This window comes from Homo sapiens, chromosome 6 (assembly GCF_000001405.40).
Source record: "Homo sapiens chromosome 6, GRCh38.p14 Primary Assembly".
NCBI classification, from domain to species: domain Eukaryota; kingdom Metazoa; phylum Chordata; class Mammalia; order Primates; family Hominidae; genus Homo; species Homo sapiens.
Window position 1 is genome coordinate 11201440 of NC_000006.12, and position 17211 is coordinate 11218650.

The 17211-nt window shown below is 43.4% G+C and overlaps 1 protein-coding gene across 5 annotated transcripts in view; it reads right to left on the reverse strand.

Moving 5' to 3' along the window:
- The window catches only part of NEDD9 (neural precursor cell expressed, developmentally down-regulated 9), a 199051-nt gene that overhangs the window by 18142 nt on the left and 163698 nt on the right, over window positions 1-17211 (reverse strand). For 4 of the 5 annotated variants that reach the window (NR_073131.1, NM_001142393.2, NM_006403.4 and 1 more), the window contains one exon: window positions 11842-12288. The exons of the other annotated variant lie outside the window; for it this stretch is intronic. Coding sequence is in view for 3 of the 4 variants with exons in the window: in NM_001142393.2 (NP_001135865.1) it covers window positions 11842-12288 (447 nt within the window). In the remaining variant the exon portion in view is untranslated. The remainder of the gene's footprint in view (window positions 1-11841; window positions 12289-17211) is intronic. 5 annotated transcript variants of the gene reach the window in all.

Consider the following 17211-nt stretch of genomic DNA (forward strand, 5'->3'; position numbering starts at 1 on the left):
GTCTTGTTTTGACTACTTCCCTCCTTCCATGTGCTTCCAGCAACCCTAAGTAAGAACAAAGCAGTAAAAAAACGAAGCAGAAAAATCCTACTCTTTGAAAGGAAGAGTTGGGTAGAGTGGATGGGAGACAGAGAGATGGGATGGAGAGGAGACTGGGTAACTTCACTAGTTAGTCATGCTCTAGTGACTTATTATTATTTATACTTCTACATTATCTATCTATCTATGTCTATCTTTGTATGCATCAAAATTTTAAAAATTACAAATATATATATATTTTGTCATTTTAACAAGATTTTAAAAGATAATAAGAAATATTACTTGAAAGGTTTTCTTTTAAGAGAATGATGGGACACAGACCTGTTCTAGATTCTATGTCCCGTGATTCCTCTGAGTCTAAGTCTCTACAATCCAAAGCAACATTACAAATAGCCTGAATTGTGCAATCCTTTGCCTCCAATATAGAGATAGTGACTTGATTATTGACCAGTGGAGTTTACCCATGAATTTAGTAGAGTACTAATGTGTGGAGTCAGCTTCTTGTGTCCTTCCCTAATGCCTAGTCAGGAGCTAGGTAACCCAGGATGTGCTCAGGAAATAACAATGGGTAATTGATGAGAAGTTAAAAAGTGTCCCCGTGCTGTAATGATTACAGATTTATAACCTCACCATTCATAGTACCTACGATTCTCTGAATTTAAAAGTAGGTTTTACTAAGTAACAGCCATGTATTTGCACTTTTCTTGGCATATGTGGGAAGTAAAATTTGACTGCTTCCTGTCTATCTCTAATTCCTCCCCAGCCCCTGATTTATTTATATTATCTCTCTTTGCGTTTCATGAATTAACAAGAGTGTTTAGCTTTCCAAAACTGCCTGTTGGAAAGGGCTTCTTTCACTTAAATGCCCTTGAAAAGCATTAACAGAGCTACCACAGTATTTATTAGACTTTATAATAACCTCTTTGTCTTAAATGAACTATTTGATCCCTTCCCTTTAAAGAAAACCTTAGGAAAAGAAACATTACCATTATCACTGCCTGCCCATTAGAACTGGGATCCAATTTTCAGAAACTGTAAAGCTACAGAGGTTTGCCTGCTTAAAATCCAAGAGTACTAGTTGCTTCTCTATGACCAGAAGAAAAGCCACATGTTGCCTACCCTGGATTTATTAATTCTCTGTAAATTCATTCTGCCCAGCTTGGGTGTAGCAGTGAGCTCATTTATTTACTTGCATAGCAACAATATAATGAAAACTGAGTCTGGCCTTAAAAATACACCCTCGTAAGCCATGTCCAAGGTTAACTCTTCCAAATGCTTCTCTGGTGCTCATGAAGTTTTTTCCCCATGTATTTTTGAAGGTGAATTACTTTCTTTCAAAGTCGTTCTGATGCCTGATTTTATGCCAGAACTAAACCTTTTGCTAGCCACATCTAAATCACAGCCAGCTTCTTTCCCCAGTGAGGAAAAAGTCACAAGTGGAAGCTCAGAAGTGGAGCAGTGGTGCTCCTGGGTCACTTTCATTTGACACAGCGTTGGGCAGCAAACCCGCTCAATGGAAACAGTGCCCCTATTGTTAAGCCCCTAGCATGTCCCCCCTGCTGCTTTCAGGAAGCTCTTTGTGTAGCCAGTGCTAAAGCAATATTTAGTTATAGAGTGACCAAGCACCAGCGAGCAGCTAGAAGCATTTAACATGAAAGAACACGACGGGAAATGACGTCTGGGTTTCACGAGTGGTTGAGGTCTTTCTCAGAACAATGCCAAATACAAGCCTGTGACAAGTTGGATACAGCAAAGCCATTTTTTTTCTGTCTCATGGACTGAAATGTTCTTTGAAAGAAAACTATAAAAAAGCACAAGTATTGTGGCTCTTTTGATGTCCAAATAAATTCAACAGGACTCTGAGCGCTACATCTAGATTGGGAAATGGATTTTAGAGAGATGCCCACAGACTGCCCTAAGGGGAAAGGGACTGTGAAGAGGAGGTGAGAGATGAGAATTTTGGGACCCAAATGCCGATTGGTATCATTTCTTCCTAAAGAGGAGAACGCTCAGGTTTAGTTGGAAGAAGGGATGCAGTGGCTGATGGGGCAAACCACTCACAAGGCAGAACTCGGTGCCAGCTCTGAAGGTGGTTGTCGTGTCCAGAGACAACAGGCCTAAAACGTCTGCAAAATCCAAGAGGATTACATAGGGGAAAATGGGCAGAAAACAATGAGTTCCAGGATGAAGTGCTTTCTTAGCTCTTGGTAACAAAACAGGGATGAGAGTGCTCCTTAATGGGGAACTCTGGAAGTTTTTTTGGGTACAGGACCCAGGTCTGTCAAACACTGATTCTCACTGGCTCAGCACACTCCAGTCCCTGCCTCCTTGTGTCCCTGCCTGCTCCTGCTGTCTTTTGGCATAGCTCTGTCTTCCAAAGGGCACTGTGGTTCTGGATGGGATGGTGGGCTGGATCCTAAAGGAAGAGTAGGAAAGATTTGCAAAAACTTAAGGGTCAAGTTGAAATTTATAATCAATGCTTGAGTATCTTTTCTTTAAAAAAAAAAAAACTCTTGATGTCAGGCCGTTTTTATTAAACTGTTAAAGTGATTCTGAGAAAGAATCAGATAAGGATATCTGGATCATAAAATTTTAGCAAAGATCATTAGAGATAATCTAGCATCACTTGCCATTTCACAGTTGAGGGAACTAAAGTGGAGTTAGTTACTCAGGCTATTAATGACAAAGAAGTGAAGGAGACCCTTGGTTAGCTGGGCCAGCAGTGCAGCGGTATACGTTTCTCAATGCCCTGCGGCCTACGCTAGCAATACATGTTAGACATTTTCCAGAAATTTACTACTTTTATAATTTCACAAGTAAATACTCTCAAAGAAAGTTACTTCCTTATATGAGAGCCACAACTTGAAAGCTGGGTAACTTGTGTTTTGGGAGGTGCCCCCACCTGGTTAAATGAAGTTACCCATTTGAAGGAATTTGAAGTCATTTGGAAAGACAGTCTTAGGCCAGGCGTGGTGGCTCACGCCTATAATCCCAGCACTTTGGGAGGCCGAGGTGGGCAGATCACGAGGTCAGGAGTTTGAGACCAGCCTTGCCAACGTAGTGAAACTTTGTCTCTACTAAAAATACAAAAATTAGCCAGGCATGGTAGTGCGCACCCATAGTCCCAGCTACTCGGGAGGCTAAGGCAGGAGAATCACTTGAACCCAGGAGGCGGAGGTTGTGGTGAGCCGAGATTGTGCCACTGCACTCCAGCCTGGTCAACAGAGGGAGGGTCCGTCTCAAAAAAAAAAAAAAAAAAGAAAGAAAGAAAGAAAAGAAAAGGAAAGAAAAGACTTTTCTGTGTGGCAGAGAAAGCCAACATAGCAACATTCTCAGTGGTACTGGAGTCTAGACATCACCCTACTGACCTGGTCAGGACTCCTGGATCAGCCCACTCTGAAACTGCCCACTACAGCTAGGTGGGGGGAACTTCCAAGCTCCTTAATTCAGATTCCCTCAGTATTGAGGCTACTCCCTGGACCTGAGGTGGGAGCCCTGGGCAGCAACTTTAATTCTTCCTGGCCAACAGGGTATGATTTAGCGCCCAAATTGCTAATGAGGTGTCCAAATATGCCTTCTTCTTTAAGGGCTTGGCAATATCATCCTTCAGCCGGGATGTAAAAATCATTAGCATTGGAGTCAGACAGACGTGGGCTCAAATATCAATCCTGCCTCTCACTGGAGGCAGCAAGTTAACTTCAGCAAGTGAATTTCCTTCTCAGACCTCAGTTCCCTCCTCTGAACAGCAAATGCTGTGAGGTGCACCTCACGAGGCTGTGGAGAGGATCAGGTGGTAGTACCTCTATGGGATCCCTAACATGGAGCCAAGGCTCAAGGCGCCTTGGGGTCACCCCCACTTTAGTTCTAACACTATCTTGCAAAATGAGACGGAAGCATGGGGTAATGACACCAGTGAAGGCTGCACATTCAATTGGTAGTGACTTTGAAAACAAAAACTATTCCAATAAATAACTGGTTTAAGTGTGCCATGCTTTAAGAAAACCAAGTATTACAAAAATTAATCAAATAAATCAGAGGCGATTGTGGCATTGCTAAAGGCTTCTTTGCTTCAAAAAACTGATATACTGTAGGATCCCTTTAAAGAGAGGACTCCTTGGCACTCTTCAAATGTTACTGGAGTTACATCCTACTTTTTTTTTTTTTTGAGACAGAGTTTTGCTCTTGTTGCCCAGGCTGGAGTGCAATGGCGTGATCTCAGCTCACTGCAACCTCTGCCTCCCAGGTACAAGCGATTCTCCTGTCTCAGCCTCCGAAGTAACTCGGATTAACAGGCATGCACCACCATGCCTGGCTAATTTTTTTGTATTTAGTGGAGACGGGGTTTCATGGTATCAGTCAGACTGGTTGCAAACTCCTGACCTCAGGTGATCTACCCACTTCGGCCTTCCAAAGTGCTGGAATTACAGGCATGCGCCACTGCGCCCGACCTACATCCGACTTTTGAGGAACACACATTGTCCTATGTGAGTGGCACTGACACACTTTAAACAGGAGCAGCACATCTCTCTAGAAGTTATCTTGACAACGTTTAAGGCACAGCTAGTTAGAATGAAGTGCTTTTGATTGCTGACAGTTTCTAGTTCTGCATTTTGCACAATGTAGTCAAGCAAGTCTTTTTTTAAAGATTTGTACAACCAGGCCGGGCGTGATGGCTCATGTCTGTAATCCCAGCACTTTGGGAGGCCGAGGTGGGCAGATCACCTGAGATCAGGAGTTTGAGACCAGCCTGACCAATATGATGAAACCCCGTCTCTACTAAAAATACAAAAATTAGCCGGGCAAGGTGGTGGGCACCTGTAATCCCAGCTACTTGGGAGGCGGAGACAGGAGAATCGCTTGAACCTGGGAGGCGGAGGTTGCAGTGAGCCAAGATTGCGCCATTGCATTCCAGCCTGGACAACAAGAGTGAAACTCCATCTCAAAAATAAAAAAAAAGATGTGTTCAACGAATATTGTTTATCATGAAATTAAATAAATAAATTTATTCTGTTTTCTCTCTCTCACAGTGTTCTCCTACTTAGCCAGACATCATATTAAAGCAGTCTCTTACCTCTTCACTCTGATAAGCACAGTCATTTAGCATGAAATCATTGAAAAAGGAGGGTTAACCTCTGTTTGCTTTGGTGTGGGTTTATAAGAAGTTACTAATGCACTCTTAGAAATATGCATTATCTATAAAATTTAGAACGAAGTGCAACTGAGTTTGAAGGCTTTGGCACTGGCCAAACAAAAAGGACCTTTGTTAATTTTTAAGGAGGGGTGTTAGAGTTTGCTCATTGCTTTGGCTCGGGTGACTTGTCTGAGAAAAGATAACTTCTCATTTTCAAAGTGAGCTCATAAAGTCCTGCCCTTCAAGAGCTGAATGACCTCCAGTTTTGTGTAATATTAAAATGTATCTTGAAACTTCAGGGGTGACATTTTAGATGGCAAGTACAGTTCTCTGCATAGCCCCAAAACCCATGTATCGAGGCAAACAATTCATATACATTAGGATTATCTTTATGTAGAAATGTACAATTCTGGAACATAGTTGTACTTTATTGATTTATAAATGAGGAAACCGAAGTACCCTCTGCCCTAGGAGTATTTTTTGGGTGTGTACGTATTTTGTGTGTGTATAGGCAAGGAACAGGAGAAAGTGAGGTGAAGTCAGAATTTAACTTTTCTGGAAGCTTTCATTTCCTCTAAACCTATTTTTTGCTTGTTGTTAGACAAGTCATGCTGCTAATATATAGCACTTAGTTGGCTAGTATCTGAGTGTCGCTCTGGGCAACCAGATTGCACAATGCCTCAAATTCCAATAAGGGAAGTCCTTGTTCCTTAGCCAACAGCTTATGGGTGTCTGTGTGTGTGTATGTGTATGTGTATGTACGTGTATGTGTGTAATTTGTGATGACTCAGTGTCTAGGAAGGTACAAACATTGTAGCTAATCTATTTCTGTTTCTTACATTACCTTTCAGGAATGGGCCTGGAAGACCTGGCTAAAACCTTTGAATCATTTCCTGCCAACATTTGGCCGTGACCCATTTTGGAAGGTAGAAAATGGTCCTTAAAGATGATGTCATAGGATCTTGGTAAATCTGAATATTACTTCAGTTTTCCAAGTGCCACCTCAAAGCAATACTTACCCCAGTCCAGACCATCACACACATTGCAATGGCAGACCATTCCATTTTTAAGAAGCCCTTGAGATCAATGGAATATACAACACATTCTGGGACCATAGGGAAGGGAGAAACTGCTGGGTTGCAGAGAGGAAGCTTCATGAGGGGGATGAACCTTGGAGTGGGTTTTAAAGAATGGATAGGAGTTCACAGGGAAAATAGAAGGGAAAGGCATTCTAGGTAAATCATAACATATGCAAAGGAAGTTCTGCCCCTCAGTAGAAAAAGTTAGGCCAGGCGCAGTGGCTCATGCCTATTATCCCAGCACTTTGGGAACCTGAAGCGGGCATATCACCTGAGGCCAGGAGTTCAAGACCAGCCTGGCCAACATGGCAAAACCCCGTCTCTACTAAAAGCACAAAAATTAGCCAGGCTTGGTAGCGCATGCCTATAGTCCCAGCTACTGGGCAGGCTGAGGAATGAGAATCGCTTGAACCCAGGAGCCAGAAGTTGCAGTGAGCCGAGATGGCACCACCGCACTTCAGCATGGGTGACAGAGCGAGACCCTGACTCAAAAAAAAAAAAAAAAAGCCTAGTTTTCCTCCTTAGGTGACCACAGAGGAGTTAACTAATCTTGTCTAAATTGGGCAAAATGCACAGAAGTTAAACTCTCAGATAAGCCCTTCTTTACATCACTCATGCTTTGCATCAAGGTGCTCATTGATTGTATATGAATAGTTACCCTTACAGGACACAGGCAGTGACATTCTGGAAGGTCCTTCAGCGAGGGAAATGACTGTATATAATCTGACACCTCTCATACCAGATGGTAATGAGCTGAACCATGGGATTCGAGCAGCAGCGTGTGAGGGTGGATGTGTGATAAGATCAGAACCACCTTTCAGTTAATTAAAGGTTAACTCTCATTTAACACTTTGATTCTTGCTTCCACCTGTTCATTGGTTCACTGGGCTGCTATCTGTGGGCTGATGCTCTACCAAGTGCTCAGCCTACAGCAGTCAGGAGGCAGCCATGGCCCCTGTGCTGATGGAGCTTGTAATTTAGCCCCAAACTGATCTTCAGAAAGAGGTACAACAAATAGTTCCAGCAGTTAGAATAAAAGCGACACATCCAAAGAAAAATCAGAGAAGCACATATAATTTCCCATGCAGATCAACTGTGAAATGGATGAACTCAGGTAGCAATTTCACTGATCTTTGAAGCAGAGAAATGAGACTATTTTAGATCTTTTTAGGCTTTTGGTTTTGAACATTTGTAGATTTCATTTACCCCAAACCATAATCCCATATTAAGTAGAATTTTTGCTGTTAAAAATTGAAAACTTTTTTTCTTCCTTTATAATTCAGTTTTTCAAATTATTCGACTATGAGTAACTTATTTAATTTAGGATTGCCTGTGGGTTCTTGGCAACCATGATGCATATTTAGAAATCTTTGCAAAGTGAGAAAAATATAACCTACATACTGTTTTCTAATATGATGAAATAGTTATAAGCCCTAAATAAAACAATTAATGGGGCAGACATGATATGGTTTCCTAGACATTGACCTAAATGTTTATTAATTTCTATTTTGCAGTTTTTGTGTTTCATATTTTGGAGTCAAAAGATCTTTTATTCAGCTCCCAAACATTCTTATAGGCACTGGGCATATTGCCTACAACGCCTAATGGATAAAACGGCCCTGTGCACAAAACACAGAGTGAAAAAGACCAATGAAATTAAGTAAAGGTGTCAGCGTATATGGTTTTCAGATAACTTGGAGAGTTTTTTTCCACCCTTTGCAGAATTCTTGCAGAACCAAAGAGAAAGCCACACACTCAAAAAACACAGCATATGTGTTAGCAAGAAAGCACTTGTACCTTCGGTGTGTCGTAAGAAACACAACAGGGCTGATGTAGTAGGAAATAAACTCTGAGAAAGGAAACGCAAGGTGAGAGGAATGCATTCTTTTAAGCCCCTGCCATGCTAAGCACTGAGCCAGGGACTTTCTATGTATGCTTCTGTTTAATTCTCACGACAGCCTATGAAGTAGTTAGTATCATTCCCATTAAACAGATGAAGAAACCAAGGCGTAGAGATGGTCAGTAACTTACCAAAGGATATACAGCTATGGAGAAACAACCCAGCATCAGCTGAACCCTGAAGGCCTTACTCTCTCCACAATTCTCACACTGTCTGCTTGTTTCCTAAAAGGGTGGGGATTTTATGACTATATTTCTTTCTCTAAATGCTGATTTAATATGTGATGAATGTCAGTTAGTGTGGAGGGGATGCAAGAGGGTGGGTAGAGGTTGGAGTTTCCAAGAGAGCAAAGTTGAAGTGATAGAAGGCAGAATTCACTGTCTTTTTTTTTTCCTTAAGTGATTCATTAGTAGAAAAAAGCAGTGCTGGGTAAAACTTCGGAAGCCCACAGTCTGTAGCAATATCAAGGGAATTTTGAACTATGGAAAGTCCCAAATCATAATCAGATTGGAGCATGTCCCAGCCCCTTCATGGTCCCTTTACAGTGTTTCTCAAAGTCTAGTCCTAGGCCACCACCCACAAAACTATGCAAGGAGCTCAATAAGATGCAGATTCCTGGGCCCCCAACCAGACCTACTGGATTAATTTCTCTGAGGGAAAGACCTGGGAATCTGCATTTAAACTCACTGCCCTACCTCTCTGGGTGATTCTATGCCCATTAACATTTTTAAACCCCACCCCGGTGGCTCAGAATAAGATTCCACTGCCTCCTTATTTTCTTATTCAAGAGCTTTTAAAGACCATAGCTTAAACTACCAGGCATATCTAGTTCTGGGCTCATATTATCTTACAGATGAAAAATTTAAAGAGAAAATGAGCAAATTGCTTTATTAAGCCAGTCAGTAAAACTACTAAAATGCAAACTCAGAAAAATGAAAAAGCCACGCCTGATCCCCAGTGTGCTGGGATTATCTCTTAGGGCCTAGGCTTAAGTCATTAGAATGATTCCCACCCACTGAGAATATCCTATACCCAGGAAGATGTTGACAGATGTTTTTTAAAGCAGTTGCAATTGCCTGGAAGGCTAAAATCACCTCCTAGCAGCTAAGCCATCTCCACTATGAAAGAAAGGAAGGAAGGGAGGAAGGGAGGGAGAGGGAAGGAGGGAGGGATGGGGGGAGAGAGAGAGAGAGAGAGAGAGAGATAGAAAAGAGAAGTGAGGAAGGGAGTGAAAAGAAAGGAAGAGGCAACCACACTCCCATGGATGTGAACCACTGCTCTGGGGTACATGGAGAGAGGCAGCCTAGAGACCCAGGATCAGGATACTGTGGAGAAGCCCTTGGTATTTGGCAGGGAAGGTGCCAGGGCCACCCTCTTGCCCTCCCCATCCTGGCCATGTCACTACCCCAGACCCTGACTGTGTGATGCTTTAGGCACGGCCTACTCTTCAGCCCTGGCTGCAACTCCTGGAAGGGCTGGCACAGGTCATTTTCAGAAGTTGATTTCCTCCTGCAGGACTCATCTACCTTTTGCTAAACAGAAAATGTTCTACTGAGTGTAGACTTAAAAAAAGCAAAACAAAACATGGAATGTGAGTGCCCGAGGGTCACCCCAGCACCCCAGCCCTTTGACATCAATCCAAGGGAAGATGAGTCCGTATCTCTGCCCTCTGGAAGGACGGGGAGCCATGGGGAAAGCCTGCAGGGCAGTCCCAGCAGATACAAGGGGAAGAAGTCTGAAGGCTTAGGCTTCTCTGACTTGGAGCTGAAAAGGTTGGGTCTAAAAAGGAAAACACGCTACCTTCCTGCCAAAGTCAACTGTGATGAAAGTTTAGAGCCCACCACCTCCCAGCCAAGCATTTCCTGCTCTGGCCTCCCCTTCTGCCTCACACTGGCTCAGATGTGGGAGAGCTATTTTTAAGGTGCAAACAACCAGGACTAAGAATGAGTGAAGTTACTTATTTATAGTTACACCTTTCAACTGTTATTTTTCCCCTCTGGAGATAGAAGCCAGGTTTTGTTTTCCCTTTGAATCTACAATTCCTAGGACAAGGAAGACTGAAAAGCCACAAGTCAGTTTATCACCTCTAGGCAGCATCGTTGTCGTGGGCAGTACAAGTCTAAAAGCTGTGCACCACCCTTGAGGAATCCCTCTTAACGAACCTACGCTCAGTTCATGCCACACGCGTGCTCTTGAGAAGTATTTTGTAAAACATACTTTTTATATCAAAGGTGATTTAAAAATGCATTAGTGCTTTGTTGTTTAAAGGAATCTACCCACACAGGGTCAGGGTCTGGGGTGGTGACATGGCCAGGATGGGGAGGGCAGGAGGGTGGCCCTGGCACCTCCCCAGCCAAACACTAAGGGCTCTCCACAGGGTCTCTAGGCTGCCTCTTTCCATGTACCCAAAAATGCATTAGTGCTTTCATTGTTTAAAGGAATCCTTTGTTTTTTCAACAGAGGATTCTAATACATCAAATAGATATTCCCTAATTTACAGAGGTTTGTAAAATCAGACTTCATATTAGATTTACTTGGGGCAGGACACATCTATAGTTAGTGTTCTAAGGGTCAACAAGCTCTTTCTGGTATGTAATTGCATCTTTCCTCTTGTAATTCAGGGATATCTTCTTATCCAGTTAAATTTGTTCATTCCTAATACCAAACCTTGTAGGACCCATTGGAATTTGCCAGCAAATGAAAGAGAAAATCCCTCCTTTGTGATGCTCACATAAGCATCACCTTGGTTGTGGGTGTTACCCCCGATCAGTCCACTGACATTATTTTCCTGATAACACGTGTCCCTACCTAGCATTCTCTTGGTTGCTTCTGTCTCCCCCACGGCAATGTAAGCATCACCAGGGCTTTGTTTATCTTTAATTAATCACTGTATCACAAGCATCAAAAATATATTAGATGCTCAACATTCATTGTTCAATTAGTGAATTTCTATTGACCTCAAATTGCTAAAGTATTTGGGATTACACAGGGTGTTGCAGAGCTCCCCACACTGTATTTTTAAATTAATTCCTTCCTAAATATCCAAGCTCCACTGTTTTCACCCACTGCCTCAGGCATTATTATAAGAATGACTTGAAGGACAGGAGGATGGCTTCATTCCAATTCCACTAGTATCTGTGCATTTTTAAATGAGTCAAACTAAGCTGATAACTCTATAGAACGAGTTGGTCAGCATGACATACTCCCAGCTTCCTCACTCTCGCTACTTTGGGTGGGTTCCTTGTCCAGCCAGGCCACTGAGGTCATGATTCAGCTTTTGGCCAAGGGAGGATCCTTGTTGCATCATCAGGCTTGTACGAGATTTGGTGTTTGTTCCACTCAATGAAGAAACAGAAAAGATAGGAAACGATCTGAGCACAGAGTGAAGGCTTAGAAGCTGATATATGAGAAAGATGGAGAGAAACAGTTTAATAACCCATGTAACCCAGGATGACACAGGAACTTAGGAGGGCTGGAAATCAACTGTACTCAGCACATGGTAGTTCAAAGAAGTTTTGCTGAATGATGGATGAATGGCAAAATCATGCAAACATGATGCCTGAGCTAAGGTATTGGTTATATCTACTTCTTGGCAGCTTCAAGTTATTAATTTGGGAACATTTCCAAATGCTCCAAGTGTAATGGGAAAAAAAAATAAGTAGGAACAAAAATTTAGTTAGTCATTTACTCACCTTTTTACCCACGTGGGGCCCACTGGTTCCCCCAATGCTTCTCTGCACTGATGGTGGCACCTGATATACCTCTTGTTCTTGGGTGCCGTGGCCAGTGGGGACTTGGTAAATTCCCTGATTTTGGTAGGAAGGTGGCACTTGGTAGATGGTGTCTCGGGGAGCAGCCTGTGGGTTTGGCACTTGATAGAGCTTCTGTTGGCCAAAGGTCTGCTGCATCAGTCCAGAGGCAGGCTGCTCGTGACTGGAGGCAGTCTCCTGCATGGGACCAATCAGAAGCTTCACCCGGTTGCCTGGGACAATGCCTTGCCGACCGTGTAATGAGCACAGCCACCATCCTTCCAGTCCCCCTGTGTTCTGCTCTATGACGGTCAGGATGTCTCCCTTGCGAAAGGCCAGTTCCTCGGCACACTCTGGGACATTGTCATATAAGGCCCTTGCCATAAGATTCTAGGAGGGAAGGAAGAGAAGGAAACCGTGTTAGAATATTGGGTCGGTCCCTTTATCACCTAAGGCCCGTGCTCTTATGGAAAGGCACACTTCCTGGAAAGAGAGAAGCATAAATCTGAACAATAGACTGTAAGGAGAAAAACAGATGGTGCAGACAAAAGACAGATACATATACACTGCATCTGCCACCAGTGACATCAGACTGCCTCCTTGGAAAAGCTCAAAACACCAGAAGAGTTCTTTCCTCTAGCAGGATATGCCGTGCCAAGGAATTATGAGTAGCAGTGTTACAGAGTTAGAGCATGGTTCACTATACAAAACATTTTTCTTCCTTTTTCAAAGTGAGCTTAAGGAAAAAAAAATCCCGAGATATTCAGATGTTCGACAATGAACATTTCTCAATATTGTTCTATATTGGAGGTGAAAAGAGTAAAAGAAAAATCCCAAATAACACACAGTACAAATAGCATTTATATTTGGAGTTGAAAAGCCAATAGAAGTACACATATATATGCCTTGGCAGGGCTTAGAAATTCTTGTTCTCAGATGACAGGAGCCTTGGATCCAGAGAGAATCCACAAGCAAGGCATGTAGACATGCCATCAAGCGTGGAGCATAGGCCAGCAGCCATATACATCTCCAGCTTTGACAACAAATTTATTAACACATAGGTGGATGCCAACTCTTCTCTCTCGGTCTTTTATGCATACCTTTCCTGAGGGCCCCTCCTCGCCCTCCCCTTTCGTCACCTACTTCTTGAATCTCACCATTCACATCAGAAAAGCTGTGCCTTCCCCTTTCATGGGCCCAACACACTCTCCGTCTTTGTATGAAGGCCTGTCTGGCACATTCAGTACTAAGCAGACAGCCAAAGTAGGCATTCAGCAGAGAGTGGGCAGGCAGTACGTGCTGACATTCTTGGAGGCCTTTCAAAGGCTCGGAAGATTTCATTTCTTGGCATTAGTAAAGTTTCCCAGCACGCGGGCAGCCATTCCCGCATGTCTGCCCCCTTCCCAGAGCACAGCGAAGTCGGGGACGTTGTTGATTCAGCACAAGCCCTCGGAACACTAAAAGTGAACTCTAATGCTTTGTTAAGATGTTTGGATGCACTTAATGTCATTGAGGTGGGGCTCATTTATGGAAGAAAGGATTACGGATTGGATGGGGCAGGTTCATGACTTTATTTTATACCATGACATATTCGTGGGATTTTCGGCTGTCATTGTCTGAGCTTTTGCTGTCTATTTTCTTCTCTAGCAACGTGGACTTGATCATTCAGCCTCGTGCTTTTCATTTCTTTGCAGCTGACTTGCACTACTCGCGTCCCCTTGTGCTAGCCCCATTGCCACGGGTCCTGTGTGTTTTCCGCTCTGGAGGGCTGTGCAATGGAAGGGATCTGCCCTCTATTCAGTAGTTGGGACGGGTCCAGTTCTGCTGCTGTGAGCCAGGTTCCTCTTAGCCAGGGCAATTAAAAGAGATAAAGCCATAGAGGACAGTCCTCAGGAAGCTTTGTGATACTCTTCAAGAATAAGGTTGAAGTCCTTTTTCTTGACAGTTATGAGATCCAGGAAGTGTGAGACACAGAGAGGTGAGCGGCCAGGGAAGCTAAAGGGAAACTGAGGAGTGCATATTTCAGGGGAAGGTTTCACTGGGTAGTTAATATTCCAGGAGGCGCTGGGTTTCATCTAACAATGAAAAGTTCACATACATAAAGAAAAAATCAGGCAGCAGTTTCCCCTGTTCATGGAACCATTTAAGGATGGTGTCATAATCCTAAAATTGTCTCTGTTTCTCTTCTCCCATCTTTTGGGTATTCTGTATTTTACAAGAGAAGTCATAGAGTTACAGAGGACAAGATTCTGGTCCTTTTACTAAAATGACCTCCAGGAAATGACTCCACCAGAGCTGTACTGAGATTATTAAGTGAGGAGATAGCTGACCACTCTGGCCTCTGTCTGTCCCTTTCTTCTGGGCCCATTCAGCAATCGGGAAGCCCCCACATGAAATCAGAAGCAACAGAGTCGGGCTAGTTGTATGGGAGCTGAGGGTTGGTAGCTGTGCAATTATACTGGCTACAAAGAAGGGAAAGAAGAGAAACAGAAAACAGTAGAAAGGCAAAGGGCTACAGATCTAATCAGCATAAATCAGCTCAAGGCATTCGGAATTGGGCCACTTCCAACTCCAAGAGCACCATGAGGCACTGAAGTGGAGCACCGGAGCATGCTTGATCAGAGGCAGATAGAAATCCCCGTGCGAGAGTCGTCCTGGGCGTTCTTTGTCTCCTGCCCCAGTAACCTTCTTACCACCTGGTGAGCAGCTGGCTAATGTTTCTACACTGGCCTGTGAGCTGCTTCTTGGGGGAAACTCTCAGAGCCCCACAGTCTGGGCTAATGTGGGCACCGCAGGTGAGTCCTCCTGACTGGTTGTCAGGACTTCCCAGCAGTCCTCCTCAGTGCCCATAGAGATTAGGTTTCAGGCACAGCTTGTCAGTGCTGTTAGTAGCCAGGACCCCGGCACCAGCCTATTCACACACCGATACATATTCTCAGCCTTGGCCGAACAGGAGTATGAGTTATTTAATATCTGCGCAAGCTACAGAGAGCCAATGTCTACATCCAGCCACTCTCCTAAACCGAAGCTTACGGCTCCAGGGACCTTTAGAGATCACCTGGACACAATGCCCTTGTGTCACAGATGAGGAAATAGATTTGAAGTTTATCATTTGCCCAAGACCACACTATTGGCAGCGATGGAAAGAGAATTGCGTTCTTTCAGTTTAATCCTCTTTCCAGAACTTTAAGCTACCTTAGCTCAGCCACGCAGCATCCTTGTTACTGGGCTCAGTTCCATTATATGATAAAGTTCTGAAGAGGAGCGGTTCTTCTTTTTGTGTCTATGGAATAAATTGGATATTTGCGGTCTTAGGTTCTAGCTGTGTTACTTTGCCAGGCAACAGCATCCCTTTGGGCCTTAGTTTCCCGGTCTTTGGTAAGCTATGGTGATGTTTTATTTAATTTGCTAGATGGCCCTTGGGCTTCAGGCTCCCTCCCCGCCTTGCCTCCTTTCCATTTGCAGTCCAGGCTTGGTCCTATTCCAATGATGCTATTATATATGTTTTGTACCTATCTGATATTTATCTTGCTCAGGATTACATTTCAGAAGAACTGTTATCTTAAAGCAGTATATTTCTGAATTATGAATGAGTTCTTGTCACTGCAACCTCTTGTTGAGTATCTGCCTACAAACAGCAATAGTGAAACCATTGGTTGCATTCAAGGGAACTTCTGAGACAACATATTAATAATGATACTACTTGATAAATTATGGATAAATGTCATCAGATTCCAACACAGATAATACATCAGCAGGTAGGAAAAGGCATGAGGCAGGAGTTGGACTTTCGAAAAGATTTGGTGTTGGTGCAAGGTTTCAGTAAGACCATAACAGCCAAATGAATTTCAGCTGGACCATAAACCATCTCATTCAAAAGTGCACATCAGTCGTAATAGGAAAATCAAGAATGAATTCTTCTGGCAAGGAAGTGGAGGGATCCTCTCCTTCAGTGCAAAGGTGTGATTCCTTGAGCCACAAAGTCAGAAGCTGATGATCTGCTATCTTAGAAAAACCCCAGAGAGGCAGTTTAATCTACTCAAGATGTACTCTTTCTCCTGCCCACTCACCCCCTTGGATATTTATCTCCAGGGTAGGGAAGGTCAACACAGAAACAAATCAAGGAGAGATAAGAGAGCTATGTAACTCTATATTCACTTGGATGGTTAGTCTCCAAAGGCTGGCAGTTAGCAGTGCAGCTAGAGCTTGGCAAAACACCAAAACAGTTAGGGCACAGAACTTGAAAGCCAGAAGGAACTTTAAACAATTACCGTCCAACCCTTTCACTTTACAAAAGAAAAAAATGAGCCTCAAGAAGTTAATGATTTGCCAGCTCACCTGGCAAGAAAGTCTTAGAGCTGAGACAGGAATTCAGGCCTCTTGTCTTCAGGTCTAGAATTAGGACAGAATTTAGTCAAGTGAAATACAGGTGCAACACAAGCTGTGGCTCTAATCAGGATTGCAAATCAGCATTTAGGATCATGAGCCCTATCTGAGGGAACCCTGATTGCAGCAGCCTCTAGCCTTGATCCCCAGCCCAAGCTTCCTTGAAACTGTCTTCTTCTGGCCTCCACGATACCACTTTTTCGTTCTCTGTCTTCTCTTGACCACTCTCATCCTTATTCTCCACTGGAGACTAAATCTTTTTCCCATCCCTAAAGTGATCATGTTCCAAAGAGATTTGTCCTTTGCACTTTCCTCTTCTCAGCTATGTGCTTACGCTCTACAGGAGGATGGCATCTGAACACACAGATAATTCCTAAAGCCATAGTCTTCGCTGGATATTTCTTCTGCATTCCAGTCCCTTATATCCAGTCTAATGGGCATCTTCCTCTCTAAAAGCAAGTGCAAACACCTTTTTCTCCTGCTTTGCTTTGCTTGGTTAACAGCATGCACACAGCTGTGCAGTAAGAGCCGCAGAGGTTTGCTGTGTCTCTTCATGACCTGCAACCCATCTGGGGCCCTGCTTTCCACCTCACTGCCACCCTTCATTCAGGTCTTCAGCAACTTTTTTTTTTTTTTTTTCTGTAGCACAGAAATTGCTTCCCAATTGGCTTTCCTGCATTAAATTCCTTCCTCCCTCGAAACCCATCTTCCATTTAACCAGAATGGGTATCTATTCAAAGGCTGTTTCCTTTCCCAGTTCTCGATCATACTATTTCTTTACAGTACAACTTGGATTGCCCTGTTCAAGACTGTGAACTCCTTAAGTTCAGAGATGCAAATTCCTTTTGCATTTCCAGAACTTTACCCCAGTATCCGAAACAAAATATAGACTCAGTAAATGTTTGCTAAGTTGAAATGGATTCTGGA